We start from the raw sequence: 17,522 nt of genomic DNA on the forward strand, positions 1-17,522 counted from the left end.
TGACAGCAGCAAATAAGGGCTTCTGGAGCAATTCACTCTCCTCAGGGACCAGGAGTGAGAGAAACCAGCTTCTGCTCTCATAGTGTGATAAAGTCCGCAGTTTTTAAGTGTTCTTTGGGAAAACACAGCCCTTTGAATTGGAGCCACAGTATTGGCAGGGTAATGATGATTTAAACAAGAACTGCTTTTCTCTTCTTTAAAATGTCTTTGGCAAAAGCAAAAACAAAAAACTATTATTAACTATTAGGGCTAAATATATTCGTCCCTCTGTATCCTTGGCATATTGGTTCCAGGACCCCCGCGGATACCAAAATCTGAGGATGCTCATGTACCTGATATAAAATGGCATGGTATTTGCATATCCTACACATATCCTCCTGTATACTTTAAATCATCTCTAAATTACTTATAATACCTGTGATACAATATAAATGCTGTGTAAATAGTTGCTAGGCTGTGTTTTTAAATTTTTATATTCTTTTTATTGTTCTATTATTATTTTTAATTTTTTTCAAATATTTTTGTCCCGAGGGTGATTGAATCTAAGGATGCAGAAGATATGGAAGGCTAACTATATCTGAAAATAGATATCAAAACTCATCTAGGAACAGTGCAGAATTGAGAATTTTTTAACAGAAACAATCTGCTTTTAAACAAATTTCCTACTTTAGTATTTCCCCTTTGATATCTTTTACATTTAACATACATTTATAGAGCATTTAGGAGACAGAACTTCACATTAATTAACCTCATTTACTACATACAACAGATTTGTAAGGGAATATTATTATTCCCGTTGTGCAAAGGGGAGATTTAGGCTCAGAGAATTGAGCATCTTGCTCAAGGTCTTGAGGCAGTGCCAGGGGTAGGCGTGGGGAGGTCAGGTCCTCCTTACTCTTCCCAACCCCCCATCTTCAAGTCCTCCAAGCTACCACAGTAGCTAGACAACCTAAGGAAAGAGTGTGCTCACTGTGCAAATGAAACTCCAGAAGCTTCAGCAACACTGCAGCCCCTGCGACTCTCCTATATTCAATCAAACAGCTGGTAAATGGTGGCACAGACATATGGAGCCAGAACTTTCTGACCTGATGCTTGGGTGTGTTCCTATTCCTGCTCTTAGAAGCCTACCTTCCGGCCGGGCGCAGTGCCTCACGCCTGTAATCCCAGCACTTTGGGAGGCCAAGGTGGGCGGATTATCTGAGGTCAGGAGTTCGAGATCAGCCTGGGCAACACAGTGAAACCCTGTCTGCACTAAAAATACAAAATTAGCCGGGCTTGGTGATACATGCCTGTAATCCCAGCTACTCGGGAGGCTGAGGCAGGAGAATCGCTTGAACCTGGGAGGCAGAGGATGCGGTGAGCCGAGATCGTGCCATTGCACTCCAGCCTGGGCAACAAGAGTAAATCTCCATCTTAACAAAAAAAAGAAAAAAAAAAGCAAGAAAAAAAAAAGAAGCCTACCTTCCAACAGCTCCACAACTGCTTTCATTTAGGTTTCATTACGAATATTTTATTTCCTGCTAAATAAATCAGAGCAGAGTCTCCAGTAAATGAATGCCTCAGAAGTTTCTCTGTCTCACCAGTTGGATCTCATAAACAAAAATCAAGTAGGTGAATTTAACCATCCCATCCTCACCCAATTTGCCCCAACATTTAACCCAAATCCCAGAGACTTCACCAATTCATTCAATCTGGAAACATCAGTTGCTCAGCTAATCTTTTCCCCTCTTTTCCCATTATCAGGATTAGCTACTTATTGTTCTTCCTGTTTTGCTTCAACTGAAATAAACTTGAGTTCTCATCCTTTCTGTCAGATGGATTTCCAAGCTTAAAAGCTTTGAATCAGAATGACATTAATCCTGCTTTTTCTGCATTGTGGCCTTATTGCTTGTTACAGATATTTGCACTGCTCCATCTTACTTTCTGAGTTTCATGGACGTTCTCATTGCAAATGAGTCTGTGTTAGGGAGTTTGTATTTTCTCAAGAAACTGGAAACCTCATTGTTAAAAATCTCACTTTGGCAAAGAAAATTCTAGTCCACTTGTCAATTTTTATAAAATCTTATTTATAATCAAAATCAGATTTCAACTAACATTTACATTATTAGCATTGCATGAAGGTAAGTGTATTTTCTGTAGAGACTGACCCTAGGGCAGCTGCACAAATCTCTGCAAGGAGGTTCCTCTTTAGTGACAATGAGTCAGATATGTATTAACTCAGAAATGAATTTAAGAAGAAAAAAAAGTTTGTCATCTTATGAATAAGTGTTTCATCTTGGTTTAGTTGATAAAGCAGCAGCTCTAAAAATAAAACTTACTGTAGATTTGCTCTTTTTTCTTTTATTTTAAAAACCAAACTCTTACTCTTAACTTTGCCTTTTTGCATACCTAAATCAACCTTTTTTTTAATTTTATTTTTAAAGATAGAGTCTCACTATGTTGCTCACACTGGACTCAAATTCCTGGACTCAAGCGATCCTCCTGCCTCAGCCTCCCAAGTAGCTGGGATTACAGGCATGGCCACCAAGCTCTTCTATAGTAATATATAATTTTTTATCTTTTATTTTTTATTTTTACAAAAGCTTATTCTTAAATGTACAACAGGCTCCAAGACAACACTTCATTCCAGCTGTAGGTGGCAAAAGACATTATGGCAGGAAATACAGATGTTTAAATACGAATGAAATCAATGGTCACCATCGACTCAGGCACAAGGAACAGCTTACTTTTTGCCAGATTTCTTAATTCCACCTGTGTCCAGGGGCCCCTTCTTTCTGGCCTTCACTTTCAGCTCCTCGAGTTCCTTCTGCTCCTCTTTTTGTTTCTGCTTAAAAGCCTTATCTTCCTCGTCCATCTCCTTGGCCTGCGTCTTGGGCTGTTTCAAGGGCTTCTTGCCACCTTAGCGACTGGACATGGCAACTGCCGCCCCTTCCCCAGACCCTGCCACTGGAAATCCTAATATATAATTTTTAAAAATGATTTTATTTTGGGAGGTAGAGGCAGGCGGATCACGAGGTCAGGAGATCGAGACCATCCTGGCTAACACAGTGAAACCCCGTCTCTACTAAAAATACAAAAAATTAGCCAGGTGTGGTAGCGGGCACTTGTAGTCCCAGCTACTCGGGAGGCTGAGGCAGGAGAATGGCGTGAACCCGGGAGGCGGAGCTTGCAGTGAGCCGAGATTGCGCCACTGCACTCCAGCCTGGGCGACAGAGCGAGACTCCGTCTCAAAAAAAAAAAAAAAAATGATTTTAGGCATTAGTATTTGGAAGGAATTCCTAGGTTGGAGAGATGGTGAGCTAATTGTTTGGGTCTACATATGAGCTGAAATATAAATTTCAAGGAAGTTTAAATGTCCATGAAATCAGACCTAGCTTTTCAAAATTTTCACATTGACAATGATTGTCTAATAAATCTATCCTTCTACACTAACTAAAAACAAATTTTTTTTTGCCACCTCAACCTTCAACTACTATGACATTTTGTATATTTCAATGACATTTATTAAATTCTACCTTTCATTGAAGTTTTCTTTGTGTGTAAAAAGTTACTGTGTAATGAGAATCTTAAACATAGAACACAAGGGTGATGCATCTGTGTATCCTTCATGGCACCAAATAGAGCTTTCTGCTTTTCCCTGCCCTAATCCATCCGATATATTATTGTTGAATTCATTTTCCTAAAATTTAGCTCTGATTAAGTTACTTGTTGGCTAAGCACTTACAACAGTTTCTAGTTGTTTACTGAATTATATGTTCCTGCTCACCTGGCATAGCCTTCTATAATCTGGCCCCAACCTGTCCTTTCTAGCTTTATCTCTATGGTATTTTCCACTGAAACTTGGCTCTTCCTAATTCTGAGAAGAGGTGCTGGGATTTTCCTTTGTGTATGTCTGTGTGTGTGCACATGTGTGTGTGTGTGTGTGTGCTATTCTCATGAACTGCAGTGTCTCATACAGAGACCAATCTCAAATCAAGTCCACAAAGCCATGTCTGGTTTGCCCATAGAACACATCCCTTCTTGTTTCTGATCTTTGCAGTACTTGGTCTAAACTACTCTTGTGTACTTAAGTCACTATAACCCACTTTAGCTTGAATGATAATAGTCTGTGTGCTTGTTTTATCTCCCAGATTTGACAATAAGCATGGCATACTTGAAAGAACATGAGCTATGAGGTTAGAAAAACCTAAGTTCATATCTTGCCTCTGTCACTTATGAGCTGTGTGACTTCAGATAAGTAGCATACTTTTCTGAACTTCTTTTTTAAAATCTATTAAAAATAATTGGTTGGCCGGGCATGGTGGTTTACACCTGTAATCCTAGCACTTTGGGAGGCCGAGGCGGGCAAATCACTTGAGGTCAGAAGTTGGAGACCAGCCTGGCCAATATGGTGAAATCCCGTCTCTACTAAAAATACAAAATTAGCTGGGTGTGGTGGCGCACCCCTGTAATCCCAGCTACTCGGGAGGCTGAGACAGGAGAATCACTTGAACCCAGGAGGCAAGGTTGCAGTGAGCCAAGATCACACCATTGCATTCTAGCCTGGGTAACAGAGTGAAACTCCGTCCCCAAAAAAAAATTATTGGTTCACTTTCCTGTTCTCTCATATTTGGAGTTATCATAAAATCATTTTAAGTAAAAAGATTCTTACCACCCAACCCAACCTCATTTGTGAATAGCAAAAAGCAACAAAGACAGAAGGGAGTAAACAAGAGCTAATGAAGAAAAAAAGGAAAGATTGAACTGAAAATCTAGGAAGGTTTAAAGAAAAATGACCAGTATATGTCAGAGGTGTTTAGCTGAGAAAAGAAAGTGGAAGAATAGTATTGTTTGTTTGGGGTTCAATTACTGGAAGGAGTTGTATCAATGGTCTGTACATTCGCTGGGTCAGGAAGCAATGTCCGTAGTCACTCGAAACAAAGCTCCTGAGAGTCAATAAGTCAACACACTTCTCTCTGAGTCTGCCCCTCCCCTACTACGTCTTTTAGAAATAAGACATTGAAAAGAAAAAGGACCATCCAGCATATGTTGGGAAATTTACTATCTTGTCTCCCCAAACAGAAGGTATTTCTCATATTGTTTAAGAACAACTTTCTGAAATAAATTTGCCATTGTTTCCACAAGAGAGGGAAATAACTAATGTTATATTTACTATGTTAATAATAGTAAATATAACAACTCTAGACCTTTGTATTTGTATTTATTATGAGCCAGGCACTCTGCCAAGTGCTTGTGTAATCTTCTCAGTAGCCCTGTATGGAAGACTTTATTTTATTCACCCCACAGATGAAGAAACTGAAGAAGTTAAAAGATCTTGCCCAAGAGCACTAAGATTTGTACCCACGTGTTGGATCCTAAAACTTGTGATGTTTTTACTCCATCATATTCCCTCTTAGCAAGATAGTATGCTATTATAAACTAGTGAGGAGCTGCAGCTGACTATCCAGACCAAGAAAATGCAGATTTCCATTAGCAAAATTGCTGGAGAATCAGGCAGCCCTTCCTGGGCAAATGCTAGTTACCTTCATGGTCTCTTTCAGCCCTTCATAGAGTCTCTTAAATTATTGTTACCTCCAACTGTTGTCTCCTAATAGTCAAATAACCCTGCTACTCAGAGTACTCCACAAAGCTTGTCAGAAAGGCAGACTCAAAGCCCCTGGCCAATACTGTATTATATACTTAATATTTGCTAAAGGAATAGATCTTAAATATTCTCACTAAAAAGAAGGGGGTGGGTAGCTATGACAGACAATCAATGTGTTACTTCACTTGATTGTGGTAACCATTTCACATATATATGTATATCAAATACATTGTATACCTTTGTAAACCAAAAATAAAATTCTAAGCCCCCCAACCAATGGAATGGACCCCTCCTCTGGGCCAAGGGCATTCCAAAGTTAACCTGGGGCTGGGTGCAGTGGCTCACATCTATAATCCCAACGTTTTAGGAGGCTGAGGAGGGAAGATCACTTGAGGCCAGGGAATCAAGAGCTGCCTAGGCAACATAGAGAGACTCCATCTCTACTAAAAATTAAAAATATTAAACAGGTCCCGGCGCAGTCACCGGCACAGGCTATGGCTGCGACTTCCCTCATGTCCAGGTTGGCTGCCTGGCTGCTGCAGCCCGTGCACAGCTGCTCCCTCTGCCCTCGCCCCTTCCACCTCACGGCAGTTACAGATGAAGCTGTTGTAATTTCTGGAAGGAAACTGGCCCAGCAGATCAAGCAGGAAGTGCGGCAGGAGGTAGAAGAGTGGGTGGCCTCAGGCGACAAACGGCCACACCTGAGCATGATCCTGGTTGGCGAGAGTTCTGCAAGTCACTCCTACGTCCTCAACAAAACCAGGGCAGCTGCAGATGTGGGAATCAACAGTGAGACAATTGTGAAACCAGCTTCAATTTCAGAGGAAGAATTGTTGAATTTAATCAGCAAACTGAATAATTATGATAATGTAGATGGCCTCCTTGTTCAGCTGCCTCTTCCAGACATATTGATGAGAGAAGGATCTGCAATGCTGTTTCTCCAGACAAGGATGCTGATGGCTTTCATGTAATTAATGCAGGGCGAATGTGTTTGGACCAGTATTCCATGTTACCGGCTACCCCATGCGGTGTGTGGGAAATAATTAAGCGAACTGACATTCCAACCCTAGGGAAGAATGTGGTTGTGGCTGGAAGGTCAAAAAGTGTTGAAATGCCCATTGCAATGTTACTGCACACAGATGGGGTGCATGAACGTCCCGGAGGTGATGCCACTGTTACAATATCTTATCGATATACTTCCAAAGAGCAGTTGAAGAAACATACAATTCTTGCAGATATTGTAATATCTGCTGCAGGTATTCCAAATCTGATCACAGCAGATATGATCAAGGAAGAAGCAGCAGTCACTGATATGGGAATAAATAGAGTTCATGATCCTGTAACTGCCAAACTGAAGTTGGTTGGAGATGTGGATTTTGAAGGAGTCAGACAAAAAGCCGGTTATATCACTCCAGTTCCTGGAGGTGTTGGCCCCATGACAGTGGCAATGCTAATGAAGAATACCATTATGGCCGGGCGCGGTGGCTCACACCTGTAATCCCAGCACTTTGGGAGGCCGAGGCGGGCGAATCACGAGATCAGGAAACGGAGACCATCCTGGCTAACATGGTGAAACCCCCGTCTCTACTAAAAATACAAAAAAAAAAATTAGCCGGGCGTGGTGGCAGGTGCCTGTAGTCCCAGCTACTTGGGAGGCTGAGGCAGGAGAATGACATGAACCCAGGAGGCAGAGCCAAGGGCTCTGTTTTTTCCAGAAATTTTTTAAGAGTTTGAGTTAATATTGAATTTAAGCAGACTTTCTGATTAAAGGTCTTTTTTTCTTTTTTAATAAAACACATCTGTCTGGTGTGATATGAATTTCTGAAATTCTGTCTTCCTATGACTCCTAGTTGTGACCTAACCTGAGTTTTTTTCTTATTTAATCAATGTAGATATTCCTATATTCAGTAACACTTACTTCTATAGCCTTAAATAGATAATTTTTTTCTTCTTCTTCTTCTTCTTCTTCTTCTTTTTTTTTTTTTTGTAGAGATGGGGGTCTTGCTATGTTGCCTGGGCTGGTATTGAACTCCTGGCCTCTAGCAATCAATCCTCTTGCCTCAGCCTCCCAGAGGGCTGGGATTACAGGCATGGGCCACCCACGCCCAAACAGAGGTTTAAAGAGCATTGGAGAAACCAGCCTCATCCTCTAGTCGTTTTTTTTTTTTTTTTTTTTTGAGATTGAGTCTCGCTCTGTTGCCCAGGCTGGAGTGCAGTGGCGTGATCTCGGGTCACTGCAACCTCTGCCTCTCGGGTTCGAACAATTCTTGTGCCTCAGCCTCCTGAGCAGCTGGGATTACAGGTGCATGCCACCATGCCTGGCTGATTTTTGTGTTTTTAGTAGAGATAGGGTTTCATCAAGTTGGCCGGACTGGTCTCAAACTCCTAACCTCAAGTGATCCACCTACCTCGGCCTCCCAAAATGCTAGGATTACAGGCATGAGCCACCGCACCTGGCCAGTCCTACAGTCTTATATCCCAACAGGTTGTGCCAAGCTAGGAGCTTAATCTGTAAAATACTTGAGGCAGGGATAGGTTCCTTGTCTATTTTGGCTTTGGGCTAAGCAGAAGTAGCTCCTGCTCTAGGCAGCTTGAGGCAGAAAGAGAAAGAACAGTTGAATTGACCTACCTCCCTCCTTGTTCTTCTGCCAGCTGGTGTTATTCTTTTGATAGTTCTCTGGAGTTGAAAGAAATTTAGAGAGTTTGCTGGAGATGTTTTTGTGAGTGAGGTATAGCTCATGTCTATAAGTCATGCCTGCTTACTTACCTAGATTATTAAACATGGAGCAAGATGACCAAGGTGACCAAAATTTTATTGAATTACAGTTGTAAGTGGAAAAAATGACTGACTTCCTGCATGGAGAAGTATTATGTCAACCTGTTAAAAGCTATGGAAATTAAAATGTTTGTGTATATACAAAATATACATGACATGTAAGGTAAAATTACAGTGATCAATTTACAACAAAGAAATTAACAGAGTAGTTTTCCAGCTTGTTTGATTAATCAAGCAGGTTTACTCTTGAATCCATAGCATTTCTACAATTTAATTTGGACAAAGTTCTATCCCTAATCAGCCAGGTTTTAAAACTGAAATGTTAAGGGTGGATTTTTAGCTCCCCCAGGAATGGTGTGGATGATGATAAATACTTTTTTAAAAAATTAAGTATTATTGTTTATAAGACATGGGTTCCAGCTGTCTCCCTGGCTGGAGTGCAGTGGTCTGATCATAGCTCACTGCAGCCTTGAACTCCTGGGCTTAAACTATCCTCCTGCCTCAGCCTCCGAAATGGCTTGGACTACAGGTGTGTGCCAGCATGCCTGGCTAAGTTTTAAACATTTGTTTAGAGATGGGCTCACTATGTTGCCCAGGCTGGTCTTGACCTCCTGAGCTCTATAATTCCCCCCACTTCAGCCTCCCAAGTAGCGGGATTACAGGTGTGAGCCACTGTGCCTGGCAAGAATTTATACTTAGGCATAGGAGATGTTTCTGGATTAGTTAAGAAATTCTGCTATCAGTAGGAGTAGAGGTTTAGAGTTTTACCTCTTGGAAGTATACCTTGGAAGGGAGTTCTGAGATTAAATGTAATCAAACACTTACTGAGAGCTTTCTATGGACCAGGCACTACACTAGACTCTGGGGATTACAGAGGCAATTACCTGTCCTGGTACTCAAGGTGTTAATGATCTAGTGTCATTTTTCTTTAAAAAAGAAAGCACCTGCATTTTTCATCTTGAGCAAATATAGTAACTCTAACCAAAGTGATTTACTCAAGGTTCAAGTCATAGTTGTTTTGGAGAAAGTAAGTGTCAGATGCACTGTGGCTGTCAGGCACATAGTAGGCATTAAATAAACATGGTTGGTGTTCACTGAATGTGGATTGAAGGTAAAATGACTGATCTTAAGTTTTGTGAGGAATAGGTTTGCTTCATGAAACTGGTTTTTATCTTCCCAAATAGTTTTCAATCATTCATTTAAAGTGGTAGGTTGATTAATACTGCAAAGTTATGATGTAAAATGTGATATTACCTCTGTCGAACCTGTATTGTTCATGTGAATGGGAGTTTGACTTTGGGAATAAACATTGAAAATTTGCAGGAAGGACCCACCCAAATGTATAATGAAATGTGATTCCAAGTATGAAAAACCAGTGATAATTTAAAGGATCATTTTGTTGATAAAAATATATATATATATAGAACAGGTGTGGTGGCACATGCCTGCAGTCCCAGCTACCCGGGAGGCTGAGGTGGGAGGATTCCTTGAGTGCAGGAGTTGGAGGCTGCAGGGAGCTATAATTGTGCCACTGCACTCCAGCCTGGGCATCAGAGCAAGACCTTGTCTCTAAAAAACAAAAACAAGACCTGGCGCAGTGGCTCATGCCTGTAATCCCAGCACTTTGGGAGGCTGAGGTGGGTGGATCACCTGAGGTCAGGAGTTCGAGACCATCCTGACTAACATGGAGAAACCCCATCTCTACTACAAATACAAAATTAGCCAGGCGTGGTGGCGCTTGCCTATAATCCCAGCTGCTCGGGAGGCTGAGGCAGGAGAATCGCTTGAACCCGGGAGGAAGAGGTTGCGGTAAGCCGAGATCATACCATTGCACTCCAGACCGGGCAAGAAGAGCAAAACTCTGTCTCAAGAAAAAAAAAAAACAAAAAACAAAAAACAAAGGTAGCCTGAAACACTAATTCAAGCCATGATGGGAGTGGGTAGTCGGACATGCATCATAGCCTCCACTCTTTGGAATTCAGGCACAACTGACCAGCACTAACATTAAAACAGAAACCTTAAGATGGACAAAGCAGATTCTTTGTAGCAGTAAGATACCAACATGACATATAGCAGGCCCTGAAAGATCTCAAAGTATTTTGTCCTAAAATATCTTTCTTTGACATATTTTGAAATGGCCCTGCAAAGCTGTCTCTCGTGGGAAAAAATTTACATTCTATAAAGAATCCTTTTCTCTTTCTGGGTCTTTTTCCTGATACAGGAGAGAATTATTAATAACTAAGAGTCTGGCACCTTTTGATGTCTGATAGGAAACATTTACAATCTATTCTCTCTGAAGCCTGCTACCTGGGGGCTTCGTCTGCATAATAAGAATCTTGGTTTCCACAGCACCTTATCTTAACCCAGACCCTTTCTTCTATGGATTCTAGGTCTTTTAGATAAACCCTTTAACCAATTGCCAATCAGAAAATCTTTGAATCCACCTATGAACTGGAAGGCACTCTGCTCCCCTTCTCTTGGAGTTGTATCCTTTCTGGCCCAAACCAGTGCGCAGCTAACACGTATTGATTGATGTCCTATATCTTTCTAAAATGCATGAAACCAAGCTGTAGCCTGGCCACCTTGGGAAGATGTTCTCAGGATCTCTTGAGACTATGTCATGGCCATGTCCTTAACCTTTGCAAAATAAACTTCTAAACTGATTGACACTTGTCTCAGTTACTTTTTGGGTTATACCTTAAATATATACAATTTTATTTGTCAATTATACCACAATAAAGCTGAAAAAATGAGATAAATCACATATGAAAGAGTAAAGCACAAGTAGAACAAATACTTTTTTAATTGAACAAAAATAGGAGGGGCCTGCACAACAAACTATGAAAACATATTCTAAGATTATTATTGTATTGGTACAGAAATAGATAGTTGTGTCAAGTTCTGCATGACACGTTATTGAGTGAAAAAATAAGATGCAGACTAAGTTCAGTATACAAATGTTAATCACACCATAAAATAGCAATAGTAAAAAAAATTAAAAGGTCCTATGTAATTTATAAGCACATTAAAGCTTGAGAAACACTGAGGAATATGGTCCTTTCCATGAGGAGTCTAAGGTCTTAAACCTTAGGAAACCATTCTTTCCTCTCTCTTTCCACCACAGTGTTACTCATTTGAATTTCTCTAGCACCTAGTAATACAGTGCTAGTGTATTAGGCTAATGCAGTTTTAGAAAATGCAAAAACATACTAATGTTAAGATGGTTACAAGAAAGTTCTGAAAGTGACGGACGGCATCTTCTCTGCCTTCCTTATACTGAGGCCAAGGAACTCAGTCTTACGCAGCCATGTGTCACATAACAATGTTTCAATCAACTATGAACTAGATATTTCACAGTGATCCCATAGATTACAAGGAAGCTGAAAACTCCTATCACCCAGTGACATGGTAACAATGAAGTGCTGTGTTTGTGGTGATGCTGGTGTAAACAAACACTGTTGTATAAAAGTATAGCAATACAATTAGGTACATGCAATATACAATATTTGACAATGATAATAAGCAACTTTGTGGCTGGTTTATATATTTGCTACACTATACTTTTTATTGTTATTTTAGAGTATACTCCTACAACTTATAAAAAGAAAAAAGTTAACTGTAAAACAGCCCCAGCCAGGTCTTTCAGGAGGTATTCCAGAAGAAAGCATGGTTATCATAGGAAGTGACAGCTCCTTGTGTGTTATTGCCCCTGAAGCCTTCCAGTATAGATGGCAAGATGTGGAGGAGGGAGACAGTGATATTGATGACCCCAACCCTGTGTAGGCCTAGGCTATTGTTTGTGTTTGTGTCTAAGTTTTTAACAAAAATTTACAAAGTTAAAAAAAAATTAATTGAAAGAAGCTTTGAGAATGAAGATATAGAGAAAGAAAAAAATATATATATATTAAAGAAAAAAATATATATATATAATTTTTTTAATGGAGCCTCACTCTGTCACCTAGGCTGGAGTGCAATGGCGCGATCTCTGCTCACTGCAACCTCTGCCTCCTGGGTTCAAGCAATTCTCCTGCCTCAACCTCCCAAGTAGCTGGGACTACAGGCACGTGCCACCGCTCCAGCTAATTTTTTGTAGTTTTAGTAGAGACGGGGTTTTATCGTGTTAGCCAGGATGGTCTCGATCACCGTGCCCGCAAGAAAATATTTTTATATAGCTGTACAGTGTGTCTGCGTTTTAAGCTAAGTGTTACTACAAAAGAGTCAAAAAGTTTAAAAATAATTTAAAAGTATACAAAGTAAAAAAGTTACAGTAGGCCGGGCGCCGTGGCTTACGCCTGTAATCCCAGCACTTTGGGAGACTGAGGAGGGCGGATCACGAGGTCAGGAGATTGAGACCATCCTGGCTAACATTGTGAAACCCCCTCTCTACCAAAAATACATAAAATTAGCCGGGCGTTGTGGTGGGTGCCTGTAGTCCCAGCTACTCGGCAGGCTGAGGCAGGAGAATGGAGTGAACCCAGGAGGCGGAGCTTGCAGTGAGTTGAGATCGCGCCACTGCACTCCAACCTGGGCAACAGAGCGAGACTCCGTCTCAAAAAAAAAAAAAAAAAAGTATCAGCAAGCTAAGCTTAATTTATTATTGAAATAAGAAATACTTTTATAAATTTAGCGTAGCCTAAGTGTATAGTGTTTATAAGTCTGTAGTAGTGCACAGTAATGTCCTAGGCTTTCACATTCACTCACCACTCACTGACTCACCCAGAGCAGAGCAACTTTCAGTCCCGCAAGCCCCATTCATGGTAAGTGCCTTATACATGTATACCATTTTTAAATATTTTATACTGTATTTTTATTGTACTTTTTCTATGTTTAGATACACACGTACTTACCATTATGTTATAATTGCCTACAGTATTTAGTACAGTGCCATGCAGTATAGGCTTGTAGCCTAGGAGCAATAGGCCATACCTTACAGCCTAGGTTGTACTAAGCTACTCCATCTAGGTTTGTGTAAGTACTTTCTATGATGTTTGCAAAATGACAAAATCATCTAAGGATGCATTTCTCAGAATGTATCCCTATCGTTAAGCAATGCATGAGTGTAATTAGAAGTTATTTTCTAGTCACCCATAGTTGACTTTTTGAGGTGAGTAGTATTCCTCTCATATAAAAGAGCTATGGGATGCGCATGTAAAAATATACTTTGAGGAGGCAAAATGGAGAGAACTTAGGTAGCAGAATTTTAAATTTTAAATAAAGTAGATATTTGGTTAGTACACCCTTTCTGCAAGACAAATTGTCAGTGTGTACTAAGAGCATTAAAACTCTTTGACTTAGATCCTAAAGATGCACACAATGATTAATGAATGAAAATTTTGTATGTACCAATTATTTATATTAGGGAAAATTTATAAATACAATAATTATATGATTAATTAAATTATGATATAGCCACATAATAGAGGCATAATCAGTCACAAATATTATTTTTTATTTGGGAAAAACTCACTAAACGTAAAGGTAAACTCACAAAATGAAAATGAAGTATGTGCCTTTCAAAGAGAGGTAAAGAAAAAAGTTTTAATGCCAATTTTATACAAAAACATGTATATAGCAATAATAACTGAAAAAATATACCAAAATATCAACATTAGTTTTTGCTCAGTTTCAAATTATGGATAAATTGGATTAATTTATAATTTTCAATATTCACCAAATTTTCTTATAATTAACACATATTTTTTCTTTTTCTTTTTCTTTCCTTTCCTTTCCTTTTCTTTCTTTCTTTTTTTTTTTTTTTTTAAGAGACAGGGTCTTGCTCTGTTGTCCAGGCTGGAATGCAGTGGTGTGATCTCAGCTCACTGCAGCCTCAACCTCCCAGGCTCAAATGATCCTCCCATCTCAGCCTCCTGAGCACCTGGGACTATAGGTGTGTGTCACTATACCTGGCAAGTTTTTTGTAGAGACAGGGTTCTGCCATTTTGCTAAGGCTGGTCTCAAACTCCTGGACTCAAGGGATCTGCCTGCACCAGCCTCCCAAAGTACTGGGATTACAGGCTTCAGTCACCACACCAGGCCATGAACAGCTATTATTTCTATTACTAAAAGAAAACGTTTAAGTAACACCAAAATATATAGTTGGTACTCCTTGATTATTGCTTCTGATTTTATGTCTTGAGTTGGAAAAGGGAGCATACTTTTGATGGAGCATTCTAACACTTTTTTCCTACTCACTGCCACTGATTTAAGTGACCCTCCAAGGACACCAAATTCACTCTTTGAAAATGACAAAAGTTGGCCGGGCGCGGTGGCTCACGCCTGTAATCCCAGCACTTTGGGAGGCCAAGGCGGGCAGATCACGAGGTTAGGAGATCGAGACCATCCTGGCTAACACAGTGAAACCCCTTCTCTACTAAAAATACAAAAAGTTAGCCAGCCATGGTGGCACACGCCTGTAGTCCCAGCTACTCGGGAGGCTGAGGCAGGAGAATCGCTTGAACCCAGGAGGTGGAGGTTGCAGTGAGCCGAGATCCTGCCACTGCACTCCAGCCTGGGCAACAGAGTGAGACTCTGTCTCAAAAAAAACTGAAAGAAAATGACAAAAGTCTGACTACAGACATCCCTTCCCTTATTCTTCTAGTAAATTCTAGCATACAATGGTAATTCTTTCCAAGGTCAAAAGCCCATTTCTCTTACTGAAGGAATTTTTTTTTAAACTTTTGATTTTGGAATAATTATAGATTCACAGGAAGTTGCAAAGATAATACAGAGCGGTCCTTTGTACCCTTCACCCAATTTCCTCCTGAAGCAACTTTTAATTATGAATTATTTCATTTATTTTATTTTATTTTTATTTAATTTTTTTTTAGAGACAAGGTCTCACTTTGTCACCCAGGCTGGAGTGCAGTTTCATGATAATAGCTCAATGAAGGCTTGACCTCCTGGGCTCAAGCAAACTTCCCACCTCAGCCTCCCAAAGTGCTGGGATTACAGGAATGAGCTACCATGTCTAGCCAATTTGTTTTTTCTCTTATAGTTGAGATTAGTGCTGGGAAGTGGTGTCAATTCTAAAGGCAAATCCAACAGACCGTTCTGTTTCTCTATTTTGAAAACACGGAAATAACTTTTTTCTAACTTCCCGTAGTTTACCCTGAGTCACAGATGTTTGAAAAGAAATTCCAGCCTGTTATATAAGTTCTACTGCAATATCAATATGTAAATGTAACCACTTGGTTGTAGTTTCGGTTCAAGAGTGCAATTGTGCTACACTTCTCTATTATATGAAATTACCCAGCACTGGCAATTACTGTCTTTGGCTTGGAGGGTATAAAGGATGAGAAGAAAGAGGGTAGAAAAGATGATTTTTGGTTGATATAAATTAAGACTTCTTCCCTGTCCTTTTTGATTTGTTTGGCTTCGTCAGTTTGCAACACTGAGGCTTAAAAAAGTAATAATTGGCCAGTCTGCATTGGCTCATGCCTGTAATCCCAACACTTTGGGAGGTCAAGGTGGGAGGATCACTCAAGCCCAGGAATTCAAGGCTTAGTGAGCTATGATTGTGCTACTGTACTCCACCCTAGGCGACAGAGTGAGACCTTGTCTCTAAAAGATAAATAATAATAATAATATTCAATTAAGTCACATATTCTTTTTTTTTTAGTTGGAGTCTTGCTCTGTCTCCCAGGCTAGAGTGCAGTAGCACGTCTCAGCTCACTGCAACCTCCTCCTCCCGGGTTCAAGCGATTCTCCTACCTCAGCCTCCTCAGTAGCTGGGACTACAGGCACACGCCACCATGCCTGGCTAATTATTGTATTTTTAGTAGAGATGAGGTTTTACCATGTTGGCCAGGCTGGTCTTGAACTCCTGCCCTTGAGTGATCTGCCTGCCTTGGCCTCCCAAAGTGCTGGGATTACAGGCAAGAGCCACTGCACCCAGCCAAGTCACAAATTCTTGATGATGAGATTTACACCTGATTTAAATAGAGAAAACAATACATTTTTTGCTAAGTTGCTAAAGTGAAAGCACTGCAGCACTGAAGTAGCAAGAGTCTACAGTTAAGTATCACATTAGAGTACTGTGACCTGGAGTCATGTTGCCCACAGCTGTCTTAGTCTGTTTTGTGTTGCTGTAACAGAATCCCAGACTGGGTCCTTTTTTTTTTTTTTTTTTTTTTTTGCTTTTTTTAGACAGGTTCTCAATATGTCATCCCCACTGGAGTGCAGTGATGTGATCACAGCTCACTGCAGCCTCAAACTCCAAGGCTCAAGTGATCCTTCCACCTTGCCCTCCCAAAGTGCTGGAATTACAGGCATGAGCCACTGTACTTGGTTCAAGACTGGGTACCGTATAAAGAAAAAAAATCGATTCCTTATCATTCTGGATGCTGGGAAGTTCAAGGTCGAGGGGGCCTGAATTTGGCAAAGGCCTTCAAGCTGTGTCATCCAATGGCAGGAGGTGGAAGGGCAAGCAAGGGTGAGAGCAAGAGACAGAGACAGAGAGGGCCAAACTCGCTTTATTTTATTTTTATTTTTATTATTTATTTATTTTTTTGGAGACAGAGTCTTGCTCTGTCCCAGGCTTGAGTGCAGTGGCACAATCTCAGCTCGCTGCAACCTCCACCTCCCGGGTTCAAGCAGTTCTCCAACTTCAGCCTCCCAAGTAGCTGGGACTACATGCACGTGCCACCATGCCTGGCTAATTTTTTGTATTTTTATAATTGCAGACAGGTTTCACCATGTTAGCCAGGAAAGTCTTGATCTCCTGACCTTGTGATCTGCCCGCCTCGGCCTCCCAAAGTGCTGGGATTACAGGCGTGAGCCACCACACCTGGCCCAAACTCGCTTTTTTATTTTCATTTTTATTTTATTTTATTTCATTTATTTTTTATTTGTTTATTTACTTTTTTGAGACAGAGTCTCAGTCTCTCACCAGGCTGGAATGCAATGGCGAGATCTCGGCTCACTGCAATCTCTGCCTCCTGGGTTCAAGTGATTCTCCTGCCTCAGCCTCCTGAGTAGCTGGGACTACAGGTGCATGCCACCACACCCGGCTAATTTTTTGTATTTTTAGTAAAGACAGGGTTTCACCATGTTGGCCAGGATGGTCTCAATCTCTTGACCTCGTGATCTGCCCGCCTCAGCCTCGCAAATTGCTGGGATTACAGGCATGAGCCACCATGCCTGGCCCTGAACTCGCTTTTCTAA

The 17,522-nt window shown here is 40.7% G+C and overlaps 1 protein-coding gene and 2 pseudogenes across 2 annotated transcripts in view, besides 1 other annotated feature; 1 reads left to right on the forward strand and 2 right to left on the reverse strand.

Annotated features, from left to right (window-relative positions):
• The window catches only part of GNB4 (G protein subunit beta 4), a 131,711-nt gene that overhangs the window by 62,180 nt on the left and 52,009 nt on the right, over nt 1–17,522 (reverse strand). The window lies entirely within an intron of this gene.
• Nucleotides 2,350–2,551: a silencer, noted in NCBI's record as "fragment chr3:179178405-179178606 (GRCh37/hg19 assembly coordinates)". NCBI's record gives its function as "represses an EF-1alpha promoter that drives an FKBP-Casp9 reporter gene in an ReSE screen in K562 erythroleukemia cells {active_cell/tissue: K562}" and the evidence as "EXISTENCE:reporter gene assay evidence [ECO:0000049][PMID:32094911]".
• Nucleotides 2,530–2,914, reverse strand: LOC112268451 (translation machinery-associated protein 7-like; annotated as a pseudogene).
• MTHFD2P7 (methylenetetrahydrofolate dehydrogenase (NADP+ dependent) 2, methenyltetrahydrofolate cyclohydrolase pseudogene 7) lies at nt 6,053–7,059 on the forward strand (annotated as a pseudogene).

Source organism: Homo sapiens, chromosome 3 (assembly GCF_000001405.40).
Source record: "Homo sapiens chromosome 3, GRCh38.p14 Primary Assembly".
NCBI classification, from domain to species: domain Eukaryota; kingdom Metazoa; phylum Chordata; class Mammalia; order Primates; family Hominidae; genus Homo; species Homo sapiens.